Source organism: Homo sapiens, chromosome 3, assembly GCF_000001405.40.
Source record: "Homo sapiens chromosome 3, GRCh38.p14 Primary Assembly".
NCBI lineage: Eukaryota > Metazoa > Chordata > Mammalia > Primates > Hominidae > Homo > Homo sapiens.
In genome coordinates this window covers 53810369-53826033 of record NC_000003.12, presented here as the reverse complement: position 1 = coordinate 53826033, position 15665 = coordinate 53810369, and the positions used below count along the sequence as shown (strand labels likewise).

The 15665-nt window shown below is 51.4% G+C and overlaps 2 protein-coding genes across 21 annotated transcripts in view, besides 1 other annotated feature; one reads left to right on the top strand and one right to left on the bottom strand.

Moving 5' to 3' along the window:
* CHDH (choline dehydrogenase) overlaps nucleotides 1-13699 on the top strand; it is a 34085-nt gene extending 20386 nt beyond the window's left edge. The window contains exons 3-9 of the mRNA NM_018397.5: nucleotides 1967-2728; nucleotides 3392-3543; nucleotides 4258-4387; nucleotides 5426-5560; nucleotides 6360-6502; nucleotides 6994-7096; nucleotides 7839-13699. Of these exons, the coding sequence (NP_060867.2) occupies nucleotides 2026-2728; nucleotides 3392-3543; nucleotides 4258-4387; nucleotides 5426-5560; nucleotides 6360-6502; nucleotides 6994-7096; nucleotides 7839-8257 (1785 nt within the window). The 5' untranslated portion in view covers nucleotides 1967-2025 and the 3' untranslated portion in view covers nucleotides 8258-13699. The remainder of the gene's footprint in view (nucleotides 1-1966; nucleotides 2729-3391; nucleotides 3544-4257; nucleotides 4388-5425; nucleotides 5561-6359; nucleotides 6503-6993; nucleotides 7097-7838) is intronic.
* Nucleotides 2138-2737: an enhancer, noted in NCBI's record as "H3K4me1 hESC enhancer chr3:53857324-53857923 (GRCh37/hg19 assembly coordinates)". NCBI's record gives its function as "activates a minimal SCP1, AML or CMV promoter by ChIP-STARR-seq in naive H9 embryonic stem cells {active_cell/tissue: H9 hESC(naive)}" and the evidence as "EXISTENCE:reporter gene assay evidence [ECO:0000049][PMID:30033119]".
* CACNA1D (calcium voltage-gated channel subunit alpha1 D) overlaps nucleotides 12301-15665 on the bottom strand; it is a 319123-nt gene continuing 315758 nt past the window's right edge. For all 20 annotated transcript variants that reach the window (NM_001128840.3, NM_001128839.3, NM_000720.4 and 17 more), the window contains one exon: nucleotides 12301-14921. In NM_001128840.3, the coding sequence (NP_001122312.1) occupies nucleotides 14628-14921 (294 nt within the window). In that variant the 3' untranslated portion in view covers nucleotides 12301-14627. The remainder of the gene's footprint in view (nucleotides 14922-15665) is intronic.

Sequence of the window (15665 nt, the reverse complement as noted above, 5' to 3'; positions counted from 1 at the left end):
CCATTTCATCTAAATTATCATCTAATTTATTTTTAAAGATGTATTCCCTGGGTATAATTTTTCAATTTCAGTAAACTAGGACTAGAGGTTTTTTTTTCTTTCAATATTTAAAGTTGTCACTCCATTATCTTCTGGATTGCATGTTTTCTGAGAATTTTACTGTCATTGTTATATTTATTCCTCTGCATATGTTTTTTGTCTGGCTACAGTGATGATTTTCTCTTTATTTTGAAGTTTCAGCAGCTTAACTATGATGTACTTAGATGTGTTTTTCTTTGTACTAATCCTGCTTGGGATGCTCTAAGCTTCTTGAATCCATAGTGTTTTGTCTTGCACTACGTTTGGGAAAGTCTCAGCAATTATCTCTTCAAATATTTCTCCTCCCTTGTTCTCTGTCTCTTCTTTCCGCCTTGCCCTCCTTCCCCACTATTTCCCCCTCAGACTCCAGTTATCTGTACTTTAGTTTGATATTGTCCCAGAGTTGTTGGTTGTTTTTTCTCTCTTCCCCTCTTTATATTTCCAGATTCTTTTCTGTGCTATATCCAATTAAAAATTGTTCTTCTCTAACATTGTATTTTTTTCTTGCATTTATGTTTTTTTCTATAGTTTTCATTGTTTGGCTGAAGTTTCCTATCTGTCCACCTTTTCAACTATATCTTTTATAATGCTCACCTTGGTTAAAGTCCCTGTTTGATGGGTTCTAACATCTGGGTGCATTACTCCTTGGTCTGTTTCTGTTGACTACTTTATCTCTTGATAAGGAGTCATTATTTGCCTTGCTTTTTGGTATGTATCCTAATTTTTTATTGAATGCTAGACCTTGTGTGTAATGGGATAGTGGAGACTGAGGTAAACAGTATACCTAGCAAAGGACCTGTCTTTCATTCTGTTGGGTTGTTAGTGTGGAGTGTTGTCAGTCTGGTGGGGAGTGGTGTGGGGCCTGGAGCTCTGAAGAGTTCTTCTCAGTGTTCCAGCAGCCTCAGACATACCATTCAGGAGGCCCCGCCACCTCTGTCTCCTATGCCTGTGCAACGGTGGACGGGAGGAGGAGAAAGAGCCTCTGCACTCCAGTGGTAGGCTGCTGTTACTTGGTGCAGGGCTTGTGGAAGGGGTGGTGAGATTTATCAGGGTTTCCTTTTGTTTCAGCCTGTCTTGGGCAGGCCTTGTTGGTCTGAGCCTCACGGGTGGGGTGTTCTCAGGTGTTCTTTTCAATGGAGGTTTTCATGACATATCCTGTTTCTTTTCTACCTCTGTGCACTATGCTGGGATTGATTTGAACATTGTTAGGAAAGGGCCCTTTCAAAGCTATTGCCATTTTTCTGTTAAAACGCTAGCATTCTACAGAGTGATCTTTGAAGAGTGTAGCTCTGATCTTGAACCTGCTTCAAATCCCTCTAGTGCTCCCCATGGCCCCTCGGGTCAAAGGCTTTGAGCTCTACAGTCTCGTGCCTCTCATGCTGATCTTCCTTCAGTTATTTAAGTCTTGTCCTTTTCCCAGGCCCTAAACCATCCGTTTTGAGAGCAGATGTCTTTCTGTGTATTGCTGCAGGAACTGGGTGGGGCAGGGAACAGTGCCTAGCACATGGTAGGGGCTGAGCCCACTGTCTTGAAGGGATGAGTACAAATACTCTGTTTTCTTTCTCCCTTGGAAAGCCCTTTGCCCCCCTGCCTTCCAGCAGGCAGACTCCAGCCCAGTCTCCAGGTTCATACACAGGGCACAGGGAAGCATTTTACCCCTCAGTTGGGGGAGGGGCCTTTCTGCTGCCCCATCCCCTGGCCTGTGCCTGTCCATCCTGGCACATACAAAACAGTTCTGAAATTCCTGTGTGTCCCTCACTTCCTCCTCCTAGTTCCTTTGAGCAGCCACATCAGGCTGGGCCTGCTGCACCCTGTCCCGGCAGGCCGTTGGTGAGCATACCCTGGATATGCGGAGTTAAGATTTTTAAAGCCCCTCTTCCTGTTTTAGGGAGAAGTGAGTCATCTCATTCCCCTCCGTGGATCAGAGGACTTGGACTAGATAGAAGCATGTGGTGTCTCCTACGAGGCCTGGGCCGGCCTGGAGCCCTGGCACGGGGAGCCCTGGGGCAGCAGCAATCCCTGGGTGCCCGGGCCCTGGCCAGCGCAGGCTCTGAGAGCCGGGACGAGTACAGCTATGTGGTGGTGGGCGCGGGCTCGGCGGGCTGCGTGCTGGCTGGGAGGCTCACGGAGGACCCCGCCGAGCGCGTGCTGCTGCTGGAGGCCGGGCCCAAGGACGTGCTCGCGGGGAGCAAGCGGCTCTCGTGGAAGATCCACATGCCCGCGGCCCTGGTGGCCAACCTGTGCGACGACAGGTACAACTGGTGCTACCACACAGAGGTGCAGCGGGGCCTGGACGGCCGCGTGCTGTACTGGCCACGCGGCCGCGTCTGGGGTGGCTCCTCATCCCTCAATGCCATGGTCTACGTCCGTGGGCACGCCGAGGACTACGAGCGCTGGCAGCGCCAGGGCGCCCGCGGCTGGGACTACGCGCACTGCCTGCCCTACTTCCGCAAGGCGCAGGGCCACGAGCTGGGCGCCAGCCGGTACCGGGGCGCCGATGGCCCGCTGCGGGTGTCCCGGGGCAAGACCAACCACCCGCTGCACTGCGCATTCCTGGAGGCCACGCAGCAGGCCGGCTACCCGCTCACCGAGGACATGAATGGCTTCCAGCAGGAGGGCTTCGGCTGGATGGACATGACCATCCATGAAGGTAGTGGTCTCCCTTCTCTTTTTAAAAAAGCACTACCCCCTACCCCAGCCCCCACCCATCTTGGCCCGTGGCTCCAGGCTCCTGGCTCCAGCATGGTCAGGAGGCATGGGCAGACTGAGGCTGGCACGACCGGGAAGAGATCTGGCTTAGTATACCCCTCCAAGAGTACAACCCGGAGCCCTGAGAGTGACCCAGGATGGTGACCCTGGGCGTTCTCTGCACCTCTGGCCCCTGTTGGTGTGGATAACAGAGAATCAGCTCTCTGGACAGAGAGCCTAACTCCTCTAGGGACTTGCACATGGGGAAACTGAGGCACAGAGTGGTGAAGGGCCTTGCTCACAGCAGGACAGAGGCGAGCCAGGGCTGACCCGGGGCTTCTGCCTGCCTCTTGAAGGCTCTCACCCCTCTGGCTGTGCTCCTGGTCTCTGTGTCCTCCTGTTTGAGGGTGAAGGGTACTTTTCCACCTGCCTCCAGGGGACCCCAGGCAGATGTGGACTCAGTAGGGCAGGGTCTTGCAGGGTCTTTCCGTCTCAGCTTTACTTTGAAGGCGGGACTTGCAGTCAGAGCTGGGCATATCCACTCTTTCTTTCTCCAGCTCCTTCCTCCTGCCCAGGTGCCAGGGGAGGGCGGAGCCATGCCTGACCACCTCACTCCATCCTGCAGGCAAACGGTGGAGCGCGGCCTGTGCCTACCTGCACCCAGCACTGAGCCGCACCAACCTCAAGGCCGAGGCCGAGACGCTTGTGAGCAGGGTGCTATTTGAGGGCACCCGTGCAGTGGGCGTGGAGTATGTCAAGAATGGCCAGAGCCACAGGGTGAGTGGACTGCAGCTGGGGTCCTGGAAGAAGGGGGTGGGCAGTGACCCTGGTGGTCCAGCTCAGAGTGGGCAGGAGTCACGCCCTCACCCCCAGACCCACGTGCTCATCCCTGTGATGGCGGGGGGAGGGGCGAGTAGCTGATGGCAGTGGGCTGGTGGAGGTGAAGAAGCCCCTAGTCCTGCCACCGAGAAAGGGCCTATGGTGTCAGTGCCCCTGTGTGCCATGCCTAATTCAGAGCTCTCCCCCAGTACCTTCCACACCATTTCAAGGCACCGATGTCACAGAAAGCTATAGGTTTAAAGCTATAGGTTTACACTAGAGGTTTTAAAACCCATAAATGTGATTGTACTCTATTTCTGTGTTGTTGGCAGGGGGTCTGATTGTTTTGCAGCTTCATGTGTAGATCTGGTTCACCGCTTGCTCTCTCTAAACCACCCACTTGAATGCCTGCTTTCATTTATCTCGTGTAAGCCCTCCCCTCCTGTTTCTAAGGCTGTCACTACTGTCCAGCTGTAGTTGCACCTGCTGGTTGCTTTCAAGTAGTGACTCAGTGAGTTTCCTCTCCTTAGCTCTGGGGCCTGTCCCGGGTGTGCCACAGGATTCTACATCCCAAGGCTGTGTTCTCATGGTGCTGGCTAGAGTAGGGCGCTGGTCTGTGAGTCAGGAGAACAGCTGGCTTTTCAGGGAGTGACCTGGCTGGACCTCTTCCAGGCTTATGCCAGCAAGGAGGTGATTCTGAGTGGAGGTGCCATCAACTCTCCACAGCTGCTCATGCTCTCTGGCATCGGGAATGCTGATGACCTCAAGAAACTGGGCATCCCTGTGGTGTGCCACCTACCTGGTGAGTCCCCTTCTTTACTGCTCCCCAGAGGCTGTCTCTGCTCAACAAAAGGCTTAGTGTATGTATCTTATTAGCATGAAGTGGGGAGGTGGTGGCAGTCAGTGATCCTTGGAACTATCACATTGTCCCCGAGAGCCCGAAGGTTTCCCAGGCCTCACTGGACACTGTCATCCCTGGGCCCCGAGTCTTGCATTGTTTTCCTTCTCCCTCCTCCGGCTGCCCTATTTCATTTGGAGAAGGGCACCCTGCAGCAGGGAGTATCTGCCCTGAAGCCCCACTGGGTCGGGCATGGGCGTGTCACCAGGGCAGCTCTATGGCGAGAGGGGTCCAGGCCTCGTCCTTCCATCCACAGGACTCGCTGGCTGCCCTGAGCATGAATGAGGTCAGCTCCGTGCTCCAGAGCCTGCTCTTCATGTTAAGATGTAAACTTTGTTTTATAAACTGTCTCTGATGCTCTTGAGGGTCGGGCTCTGTCTCTTGCCCTCCTTGATAACCCCACTCCGGGAGGGCTAGGCCTTTGTGCCTTTAGGCTTCATCATGAGGGGCCCGGGGAAGTGCTGCTTCATGATGTTGACCTGCCCAGTGTCCCAGTAGGCTTGGATGAATTCATGCAAGGACGGTGTAGCACGACAGGGCTGCTTCCTCCTTCCCCACGCTGGCGTGAGGGTGGGGCTGCTGTCTGCCCCTCTGGCCATCACCATCCAGCAACCGCTCACCAAGCAGTGCCTGCTGAAGGCGTAGGCCCTGCCCTCACAGAGGGGGCTGCTGAGCAGGGCTGACAAGGGGCACCCAGAGGCTGCCGTAGGAGTGAGTGACAAGGACAGGTGGCCTTGGCAGCATCCGAGGCAGGCCAGACTTGGCCAGGAGTGCACACATAGTGTCTCTGGGAGGCAGCCTTTAAGCTGAGACCAGGGAACTGAGCAGGAGCTGGTCCAGAAGATAAGGGAATAGGAAAGAATTTTTCAAAACCGGGGGGATATTGAGAAGCAGCTGAGCCCCCTTGGTAGCCATTTTCTAAACCACTCCTTCCCGTATCAGGGGTTGGCCAGAACCTGCAAGACCACCTGGAGATCTACATTCAGCAGGCATGCACCCGCCCTATCACCCTCCATTCAGCACAGAAGCCCCTGCGGAAGGTCTGCATTGGTCTGGAGTGGCTCTGGAAATTCACAGGTGAGCACGCTTACCAGTAACCTGGGAGGAGACTGCCTATAAGCATTGAGACCTCCTTCCTGAGGAGCTGAACAGGGGTTCTGGCCACTGGGTTTGATGCGGAACTATGCCATTTACCTTAGCCCTGAGCCTCAGTTTTTCCATCTTCAAAATGGGGATGCACAGTTTCAACCTGACAGGTTGAAGCGAGGACCAGAAACAATAGCACATGCCAAGGAGCTTGGCCCAGGGCCTGCTGGAGGTGAGACTCCTCGGGGCTTAGGGGCTGCTCCTCCTTACGGATGAGCAGGGATGGCCTTGTGCTGGACAGCAGGTGAGGTCCAAGGAGCCAGGAGAAAAGGTGGAGAGAGGAGACTTTGGGGCTAGACTGCAGAATCAGCATTCATCTTTCAACCTTTTCCATTTGATTTCTAGCTGTGCCTGGGCCAGGAAATGGTAGTTTAAAATCCTACCCATCCACTCAGTCTGTATTTCTCACACACCTAGTATGTGCTGTGTGCTGTGCTAGGTAGTGGGAAGAGCCGGTAAGGCAGGTGGCATGGGCAGTGGCAGAATTGGCCCTGGTAGAGAGCAGAGCTGATGCCATCCTTTTGGCAAATAGCTGACATTTTATGGTGTGGTGCTGGGTGAGCCCCCTGTGAGGGGTGAACAGATGTGGACAGGACTTGGGTCCAGGCACTAGAGTGGAGTCCGGGAAAAGGAAGAGGAGCGGCCAGGAGAAAGGAGGGAAACCAGGAGCAGCCGGCCCACCTGCCACGGCCTGACTGGCTCTTCTGCCTCATCCTCTTCTGCTTCTCAGGGGAGGGAGCCACTGCCCATCTGGAAACAGGTGGGTTCATCCGCAGCCAGCCTGGGGTCCCCCACCCGGACATCCAGTTCCATTTCCTGCCATCCCAAGTGATTGACCACGGGCGGGTCCCCACCCAGCAGGAGGCTTACCAGGTGAGCAGGTGGAAGAGCCTCGGCTTCCCAGGATGTCTCCTTCCCACCAGGAAGGAAGATGCTCCCATCTTCCAAGGCAGCATTCTCCCTGGTGCCATATGGCTGCAGAGTGGGGGACACAGAGGCCTGTCCCCTGCCTTCCAGCTGCCCAGCGTGTCAGTCTGCGTGGTGCATGCCAATGGTATGACTGTTTCATGCAGGCTAGGTACCGAGCACCAGAAATGGGACAAACAGAGGGGCTGACTTGGCTCTGGGATCACCACCTCTGAAAGCTTTGAGCCATGGAGTATGAGGCCAGGATGAAAGAGTGATTCCTTGAGGTGGTCTGTAATCACTCGTGGAGGTGGGTACCATGCGGGCAAATGCTAACATGCATCTGTTCCCCACTGATTCTGGAAGCAGAGGCCCACCCTACAGGTAAACCAGGGTTGACAGAGGTCACTGTGGATGTCTATGGAGGGACCGTCACTGCTTCCTCTGTGTTCTTCTAGGTACATGTGGGGCCCATGCGGGGCACGAGTGTGGGCTGGCTCAAACTGAGAAGTGCCAATCCCCAAGACCACCCTGTGATCCAGCCCAACTACTTGTCAACAGGTACTTCACCCACCTGTGTCTTCCTGGGCTTGAACAAACGAATGCCTTTGTGGGGTTCCTGTTTATCCCTGAATCATACCCTTGGACTACACTTTCTAGGACACAAGTGACCCTCTGTCGTCCCCCACCGTGTCACTTTAGGCTGTAAACTTGCATAGGCAGCCCCGTAGTGTCCTGGGACACATGAGATAAATGAAGTCCCAGGGTTTAGACAGTAGGGGAGATTTTCAGCTTTCAGAACAATCTGCCATGATGTGCAGGGAGACCACGCCATGCAGGTGCCAGGTCTGTAGGTAGAGCATTTTTCCTGTTGTCACTCTGAGCAGTCTCTAAAAGCAAATTCCATTCCTGGGCCTGCCTCTTTGCATGCAGCAAAAACGAGCACTACCCACTGGGCAGGTTTTGCCCAGCAGTGGCTGCAGGGTGCTCACAGCCCCACTGTAGCAGGGGCAGGGTGTGTGTACTTATCCCTGCCCTACAGATAAGTCAGATCCCTGATTTAAACCTGGGCCTCTGGGTGGGCTGTGTCCGTGTAGGATGCTACCTTTGAGCTACACGGTACAGTCTAACCCGCTGTGGGCAGGGACAAGCAGCCTGCTGGCTCAGTCCCCCATGGCCCTGAACTTTGTCCCCAAACACCATCCCCTCAGACAGCTTACAGAGCCTCTCCATGCCGTGAATCTTCCAGTGAGGCCAGCACGGGCAAAAGGAGGGGTCCTCACCTGTTTCTTCTCCTCGACAGAAACTGATATTGAGGATTTCCGTCTGTGTGTGAAGCTCACCAGAGAAATTTTTGCACAGGAAGCCCTGGCTCCGTTCCGAGGGAAAGAGCTCCAGCCAGGAAGCCACATTCAGTCAGATAAAGAGATAGATGCCTTTGTGCGGGCAAAAGCCGACAGCGCCTACCACCCCTCGTGCACCTGTAAGATGGGCCAGCCCTCCGATCCCACTGCCGTGGTGGATCCGCAGACAAGGGTCCTCGGGGTGGAAAACCTCAGGGTCGTCGATGCCTCCATCATGCCTAGCATGGTCAGCGGCAACCTGAACGCCCCCACAATCATGATCGCAGAGAAGGCAGCTGACATTATCAAGGGGCAGCCTGCACTCTGGGACAAAGATGTCCCTGTCTACAAGCCCAGGACGCTGGCCACCCAGCGCTAAGACAGTTGCTGCTGGAGGATGACCAGGGAAGCCCCCTGATAAGCCAAGAGGGCCAGCACAGCCCTTGCTCCCAGGCTCCTGCCTGAAACTATCTAGCACACTAGGACCCAGGTGGTACCCTACTCAGTGGCTGAGAATTGGATAAAGTCTTGGGAAATGAGACAAGTACTGGGCAGTGAATCCAGCTCCTTTTCCCCAGCCTTTCCCTGTGGGCCATTTGGGGAAGGCCAGCATTCAGCCTGAGATGTTCCTCCCTGCCTCCTGGAGGGACAGAAGGGGAGGATGGTTAACTCCTGCCGCATCCTTTTTCTTGTGTTCACGTGGCATTCTCTAACCCAGGGCAGTGGTTCCTTCCCAGGCCATGCACAGAGGCTGGGTGCCTGCCAGACCCACGGAGGGTTCGCGAAGGAAGGGGCATCCTCCTTCTTGAGCTGCAAGCTTTAGCTGAGGCAGTAAGTCACACAGTAGTTAGTTCAGCCTGGGCTGGCACATAAGTCCCCAGTGTCCCTGTTGAGAGGGGAAAGTTGCCTGCTGGTTGAAAAACTGGCTTTTCCTTTCTCGCTGCCTAATTTCACTCTCAGAGTGAGGCAGGTAACTGGGGCTCCACTGGGTCACTCTGAGAGGGTTGTGGCTCTGGTTCTTATTAAACCAGGGCCAGGTGCAGGGCTCACACCTGTAATCCCAGCACTTTGGGAAGGTCACTTGAGCTCAGGAGTTCAAGACCAGCCTGGGCAACATAGTGAGACCTTGTCTCTGGAAAACAATTAGCTGGGCATGGTGGTACACACCTGTAGTCCCAGCTACTTGGGAGGCTGAGGCGGGAGGATGGCTTTAGCCCAGGAGGTTGAGGCTCCTGTGAACCCTGATGGCACCACTGCACTCCAGCCTGGGTGACAGGGTGAGACCCTGTCTCAAAAAAAAAAAAAAAAAAAAAAACCTGAGATTTTTTTGGACCTTATTCAAGGGGAGAGGAGTCTGGAGGGAATGCCGCTTGGCTTCACTACCAAAGGTTTTATGACTTAGCATTTTAAAAGGTTTTCCTTTTACCAAGAAATGCAGAAACCAAGAGCAAACCCCACGTACCAGATCACTGATTCCTACTGAAGCAGCTAGCCCGAGAAAGGACTCTCTCATACTGGTCTTGGGAAATGACTTGGCAGCCTGAGCCATCCCAGCAGTGGACAAGGATGGTTAATTCTTATTCTGTAGACGTCCACAGGAACAGACTAGGATGGAAAACACAGTTAAGCACAGCCATGCACCCTGTGGCTGTAGAAATGCCCCTGTGTGAAAGAAAAATAAATTCAAGACTGGAGTTTTGGAGGAAAAAAAATACAAGTAGCATTTACAACAGCTCTTTGCTCTTTAAATTTCTTACCATTCAATAAAGTGATCCAGTCACTCACATTTGAACTGAGATGCCTTCTCCAGACTGTTCTGACAAGGTAATGAAAATAAAATGCACTTGGATTTTTCCAGACATCCACATCCACCGTCAAGGGCTGGGAAGAAAAGCATTGTTGCGTGGAAACCTGCAGCTATACTAGGCCCAGAATAAGGACGGGAGGAAATTGGGGGATTCCAGGCTTTGCTCGGATCTGAGAGGATTGGGGCGGCTTACAGACTGGGGCGGGGGGGGGGGGCGTCCGACAGCCACAAGTTAGTTTTCTGAGAAAAACCTTCGAGAGAGGCAGCAGGAAGAAACCCATCACACCTCTCCTTTTAAAAATCTTAAGCAGCTCTTGTTTAATCTTACCTGTATTTTTTAAAATTTTTGTTCGAAGAGAGGGTCAAGAAAGAAAATTCTAAACCGGCCAAGAGACTTATTTCTCCTACGGAGGGTCCCCACCTGCCCCACAGCAGCAGTCCATGGCCATCAGTCACCTGGGTCTCGGGGCTGCCTGCAAGAGTGCAGAAACAGGAGTTCAGGTGCCAGCCCCGTAACTTGGAGGGCCTCGTGCAGCTTTCCTGCTGGAGCGTGTGTGGATTCAGGGGCAGGGGATAGTCCTGGACCAACCATGACTGTGCTGACCCTTCTTCTCTGGAACAGGTATGGATATGGCAGGGTGACAGTCACTTAGTTCTACCATCTCTGTGTCCCATGGGTGTGTCAGTGTCTGAGACCATGGTGGGTTCAGTCTGGTGGCTGTATTTTAAAATAAGCAAAACGTCATATGGTAAGAGGAGCCCATTGGTGATGCTGCTCAATTGCACCCAGGCCCTTCTTTCACTCTCAAATACTTAGCCATGTTCTACACAATCGCACAATTTGGCCATAAACAGGAATGAGGTTTAAAAGAAAAGATGGTAAGTGTCACATGTCCAGAACCTGAGCGTTCCCCTGCCATGAAGGGAGTCTTTCATTCACCCCAGGAGGAGAGGCTGTCACCTGAGGAAGCCAGCATGGGGGAGAAAGGCACTTGCTACAAAGTGGGGTGCACAGAGGGTACCCCCCCATCTTCAGTCTCATAGGGAATTGGGCCCCTTGGCCAAAAGCTTGCAGTACCTAAAAACAGAGAAACGTGCTTTGCAAAAATGGCTCAAAGAGCACAACAGAATGCGCTGTCCATGTGCCCAGTGCTCTCAGGAGCCCTGACCTATTGCAGAAGCCTGTGTTGAAGCCGCTGCACTAGTAGAAGGCAGCTCCTGATGGAATAGGGGATAGGGGTGGGCTGTGTGGGAGCCAAGAGCATCTGGCAGCCTGACTGGAGATGGTGAGTTCCTGAAGCAGGAGTTGTAGGCACCCAAACATCTAGTCTTTCTGCTTGTAGCGAAGGTTGCAGGCATCATCTCCACGAATTCAAATAGATTCTTCTTGGCTAGGCATGGTGGCTCACGCCTGTAATCCCAGCACTTTGCAAGGCTGAGGTGGGTGGATCACTTGAGGCCAGGAGTTTGAGACCAGCCTGGCCAACATGGTGAAACCCCGTCTCTACTAAAAATACAAAAATTAGCTGGGCATGGTGGTGCACGCCTGTAGTCCCAGCTACTTGGGAGGCCGATACAGGAGAATCGCTTGAACCTGGGTGGCGCAGGCTGCAGTGAGCCAAGATTGCACCACTGCACTCCACCCTGGGTGACAGAGTGAGACTGTCTCAAAAAAAAACAACAAAAAAACAGATTCTTCTCCACCCAACCATGTCCCGCCACTCAGAAGTGGTTTCATGCTTCTACTGATAAGCCAACTTAACATCAGATCCAATACAGATTTTTTAAAGATAAAATACCATCTCTACTGGACCTGTTTAGTGGCTCAGGCTGCCCTCACAGGACATCCCTGAGACCACCCTGTCACTCTTGATGTTGGAACCAGGGCCCAGGCCTGCTCCTCATTGTCTCCTGCCCTCCTAGTCCCCAGGAGAGGAAAAGAAATACTGTTTTAGAGAAATAACATTTTCAACAAAACATCCCTGGAGTCAGATTTTGAGTTGGGGTGGGCTAATCAGGGAGTCGGGGCTCTCTGCGTGATGTCAGTTCTATGGCTAACTGGTTTTTCTAAACCAGCCAGCTGCCTATCAAAACAGTACAACTTTTCTAGGAAATGCAATTGGCAAAGACACTTACGATGCTGAGAAGTACACAAGGTGAAACTGCTCCAGTTTTTCTCATAGCAGGGTCAGCAGGAAAGCAAGTGGTGCCCCTGGTCCCATCTCACACAGGTGAGACTGCACCGAGAGGTAACGTGGCCCTCACAGCCCACCACGCCTGGCCTTCGCCCAATTCTGAAACTTCGTAGGATAGAGCTGGAAAGTGCCACATGGTGAAGCGAGATCCAGCTGTCTGGGTGGATGTCGGAGTCCATAGGCTGAGCAGAGATGGTTCTTAGTGAGGTTCTCGCTGCCAGTTGACGGTGAAATCATAGCTGCCATTTACATTTTGTGAGATTATGAAAAACATAAGACTAAAGAAACTAAATGTGTTATTCCTGTGGACACAAAAATGTGTGTTTTTCAGATGGGGAGGGGACCAAAAAGGAAAAACATTTCATCTTAAAACTTTCCTAAGACAAGGGAAAACAAAAAACCATGCTCTACAACTTCAAATTTTTCTTACAAAGAAAAATTTAATATTCGATGAGAGGTTGAACCAGGCTTAAAGCAGACATACTAGGAAATGGTGCAGCCTGTAAGAATGCCAGTTTGTAAGTACTGACTTTGGAAAAGATCATCGCCTCTATCAGACACTTAGGGTCCTGGTCTGGCAATTTTGGCCTGATGTGATGCCACAAGACCCAACAGAGAGAGACACAGAGTCCAGGATAATGTTGACAGTGGTGTAGCCCTTTAGGAGAAATGGCGCTCCCTGCGGCTGGTATTAGGTTACCATTGGCACCGAAGGAACCAGGAGGATAAGAATATCCATAATTTCAGAGCTGCCCTGGCACAGTACCTGCCCTGTCGGAGGCTCTCACTGGCAAATGACAGCTCTGTGCAAGGAGCACTCCCAAGTATAAAAATTATTACACAGTTTTATTCTGAAGAACATTTTGCATTTTAATAAAAAAGGATTTATGTCAGGAAAGAGTCATTTACAAACCTTGAAGTGTTTTTGCCTGGATCAGAGTAAGAATGTCTTAAGAAGAGGTTTGTAAGGTCTTCATAACAAAGTGGTGTTTGTTATTTACAAAAAAAAAAAAAAAAAAAAAAATTAACAGGTTGTCTGTATACTATTAAAAATTTTGGACCAAAATTGCTACCTATCATCTATCTTTTTGATTGCAGGGAATCCCTGCCAAGGTAACCTGACAGTCGGCCTAATTCTGTTGACAGAAAATGAAGCCTTGACGGTTCTAATTATCCAAAAGTGGGTTTTCATCAGGACGTACAGTCAGAGTGTGAGTGCATTCTAATGAAAACTTCAGCCCTCATTCAATTGCATATAAAAGCCCTCAAAGAGAACATACAGTACAGCAGTTTTGTAAAAGGCAACAATACGATTTGTACAGACCCCGACACTCCAATCCTATAGATCACCACGTTGCTCCTCTGTCCCCAGCACCCCTTATTTCTTAAGCAGCACCACCAGTCCCCAGAGGACAAGAGCAGCTATATCTCATCCACCTATGCATTTCTGCACCAGCGATGCAAAAAACACCCTGGGTGGGCCACAGAGAAAACCGTAACTATGGATACCCAAGGGGCAGAGCAGCCAGCTGGACCTGCTCTGTAATTCACTTACTTACTTACCAGAGGGTGGTTCAAGTCAAACAAACAAAACCAAAGACAGTTGCAACCCATGGTGGATCCAAAGGTACAGTATCAAAATCATGGAACTCTTGCCCAAAGAAAAGACTGCAAATAGTCATCTGGTATATCTTGTGGAAAGATGATAGGTTTATAGTGACTCAAAATATTTTAGAAAAATTTCTGTAGTGTCAAGTTCTTTCAAACTTAAAATTTTAACCCCAGAGGATTTTCGCTGAATAAATGAGAATTGGCTCTATTTCTTCTACTTCTGGATAGCCCGAGTAAAAATACTAATAATTTCTAGATTTTAGTGGGGAACTACAATTATTAGGACCCATGGATATTGCTGCAGTTCAAATACAATACAGTAATTACAAAATATAGACCATCTCTTTACAAATACAAATTATAGTATATTACAAGTCATGTACAGTAAATCTATAATTTTAAACAAACTAGTGTATCTAAGTTTACCTGGTTGCGAGTGCATTATTATTCCAGTTTACAGTTGCCCTTAGCGTGACAGTCAGAAACCGACCATCGGAGTGATATTCTCTTATGTAAACTGGCGTCACATCACAGAAAACCTTATTTATGAGGTCCCATTGCCCTCGCAATAATCACTGGTAGCTGGGTTCTGACTTACTTACACACCGTATTTCAGAACAGCTAAACAGGAACCAGGACGCAGTGTATTTGGGGGAAAGGGTTTAAAAATGGATATGTTGGGCCCAGTGACTGATATGCTAGACCGATGGCTGAGGTAACGACACAGGTGTGATGATCGTCATCACCTTTAACTTTCCCCTGCACCCCGCCGCCATGCCTTCAGTTGGGTGGGCCTGGTGCCCTGGTACATGGGAGAAGCAGACTCCACAGCAGTGCCCATCTGGACAATGGGGCAGGGCAGGTCTGGCCTCCTCACCCATCCTCTGTGAGAGGGCGGGGCCTGCTGTTTCCTGCAGCTGGGGCCGAGCGCATGGTACTCTGCCAGGCTCAACCGCTTGGGACCTGTTCCTACCAGGTTTATGGCTTTCTTGAGGCATGACATCTCTTATACAAAAGTCTAATTAATTGAATATTACTCCCAACTAGTGCCTAAACTTTCCTAACTATGAGGCACTTTTCCCCTGGCTCTCCTGCGCCCCACCTGAGGCCAGAGCCAGTCTGCCCCTCGCTGGGGGCTACAAGGTGGTGATGCATATCATTTCATCCGCCAGGTCCTCCTCATCCCTCCCAGGGTCTGGCTCTTCGTCGCTGTAGCCAGGACCAAAGTCCTGTAGCTCATAGTCCTGCCGGTGTGAGAGGGGGCCCACATCCCCGTTGGCTCGGGGACGCACGTTCCCATTAAGCAGGGTGCTGGCTGCACTCTCCATCTCGTCGATGGTGAGGTCACAGGCATCAGCGATTTCGTGTTTTGTTGCTGACACAAATTTTGGGTCCCTTGCATAGCGTCCCAAGCCTTCGGATATCAGGACCTGTACAGAAAAGAGGGATGGATGGCATGGGGGTGTTATAAGGCTTTGCAGGGCAGGGGGACGACAGAAAAATCAACTCCAGTGCTAACTTAACTGCACCGTGTGCTTTGGGGATGCAGCTCAATCATGTTTTCTAGACCTCATACATAATAACTAGTGTAAATGGCTTTGAAAATGTCCTGGAGCTAAAAAACTACACATGGCCCAACAAGAGTGAAACCCACTGGGGAAAGACATTTAGTATAAACTAGAAACATATGCCGGAACAGCACCCATAATGCCAGCACAGCTCATTTATGAGAATTGACGGTGGTGACCAGTTTTTGTTTTTTTTTTTTTTTTTTTTTTTTTTTTGAGACAAGAGTCTCGCTCTGTGGCCCAGGCTGGAGTGCAGTGGTGTGATCTCGGCTCACTGCAGCCTCCACCTCCCGGGTTCAAGCAGTTCTCCTGCTGCAGCCTCCTGAGTAGCTGGGATTACAGGCATACACCACCACGCCCGGCTAATTTTTGTATTTTTAGTAGAGACGGGGTTTCACCATGTTGGCAAGGCTGGTCTTTGAGCCGCTGACCTCAGGTGATCCACCCGCCTCGGCCTCCCAAAGTGCTGAGATTACAGACGTAAGCCACTGCAGCCAGTGGTGGTGACCAGTTTTTACTCATGCTTCAGGTACATTCCTGCTGCTCAGAAGTGTCTGATTGAGGCAGCCTAGCTCACAGCCTGGCCGCCCTCCCACCACTGCCCTT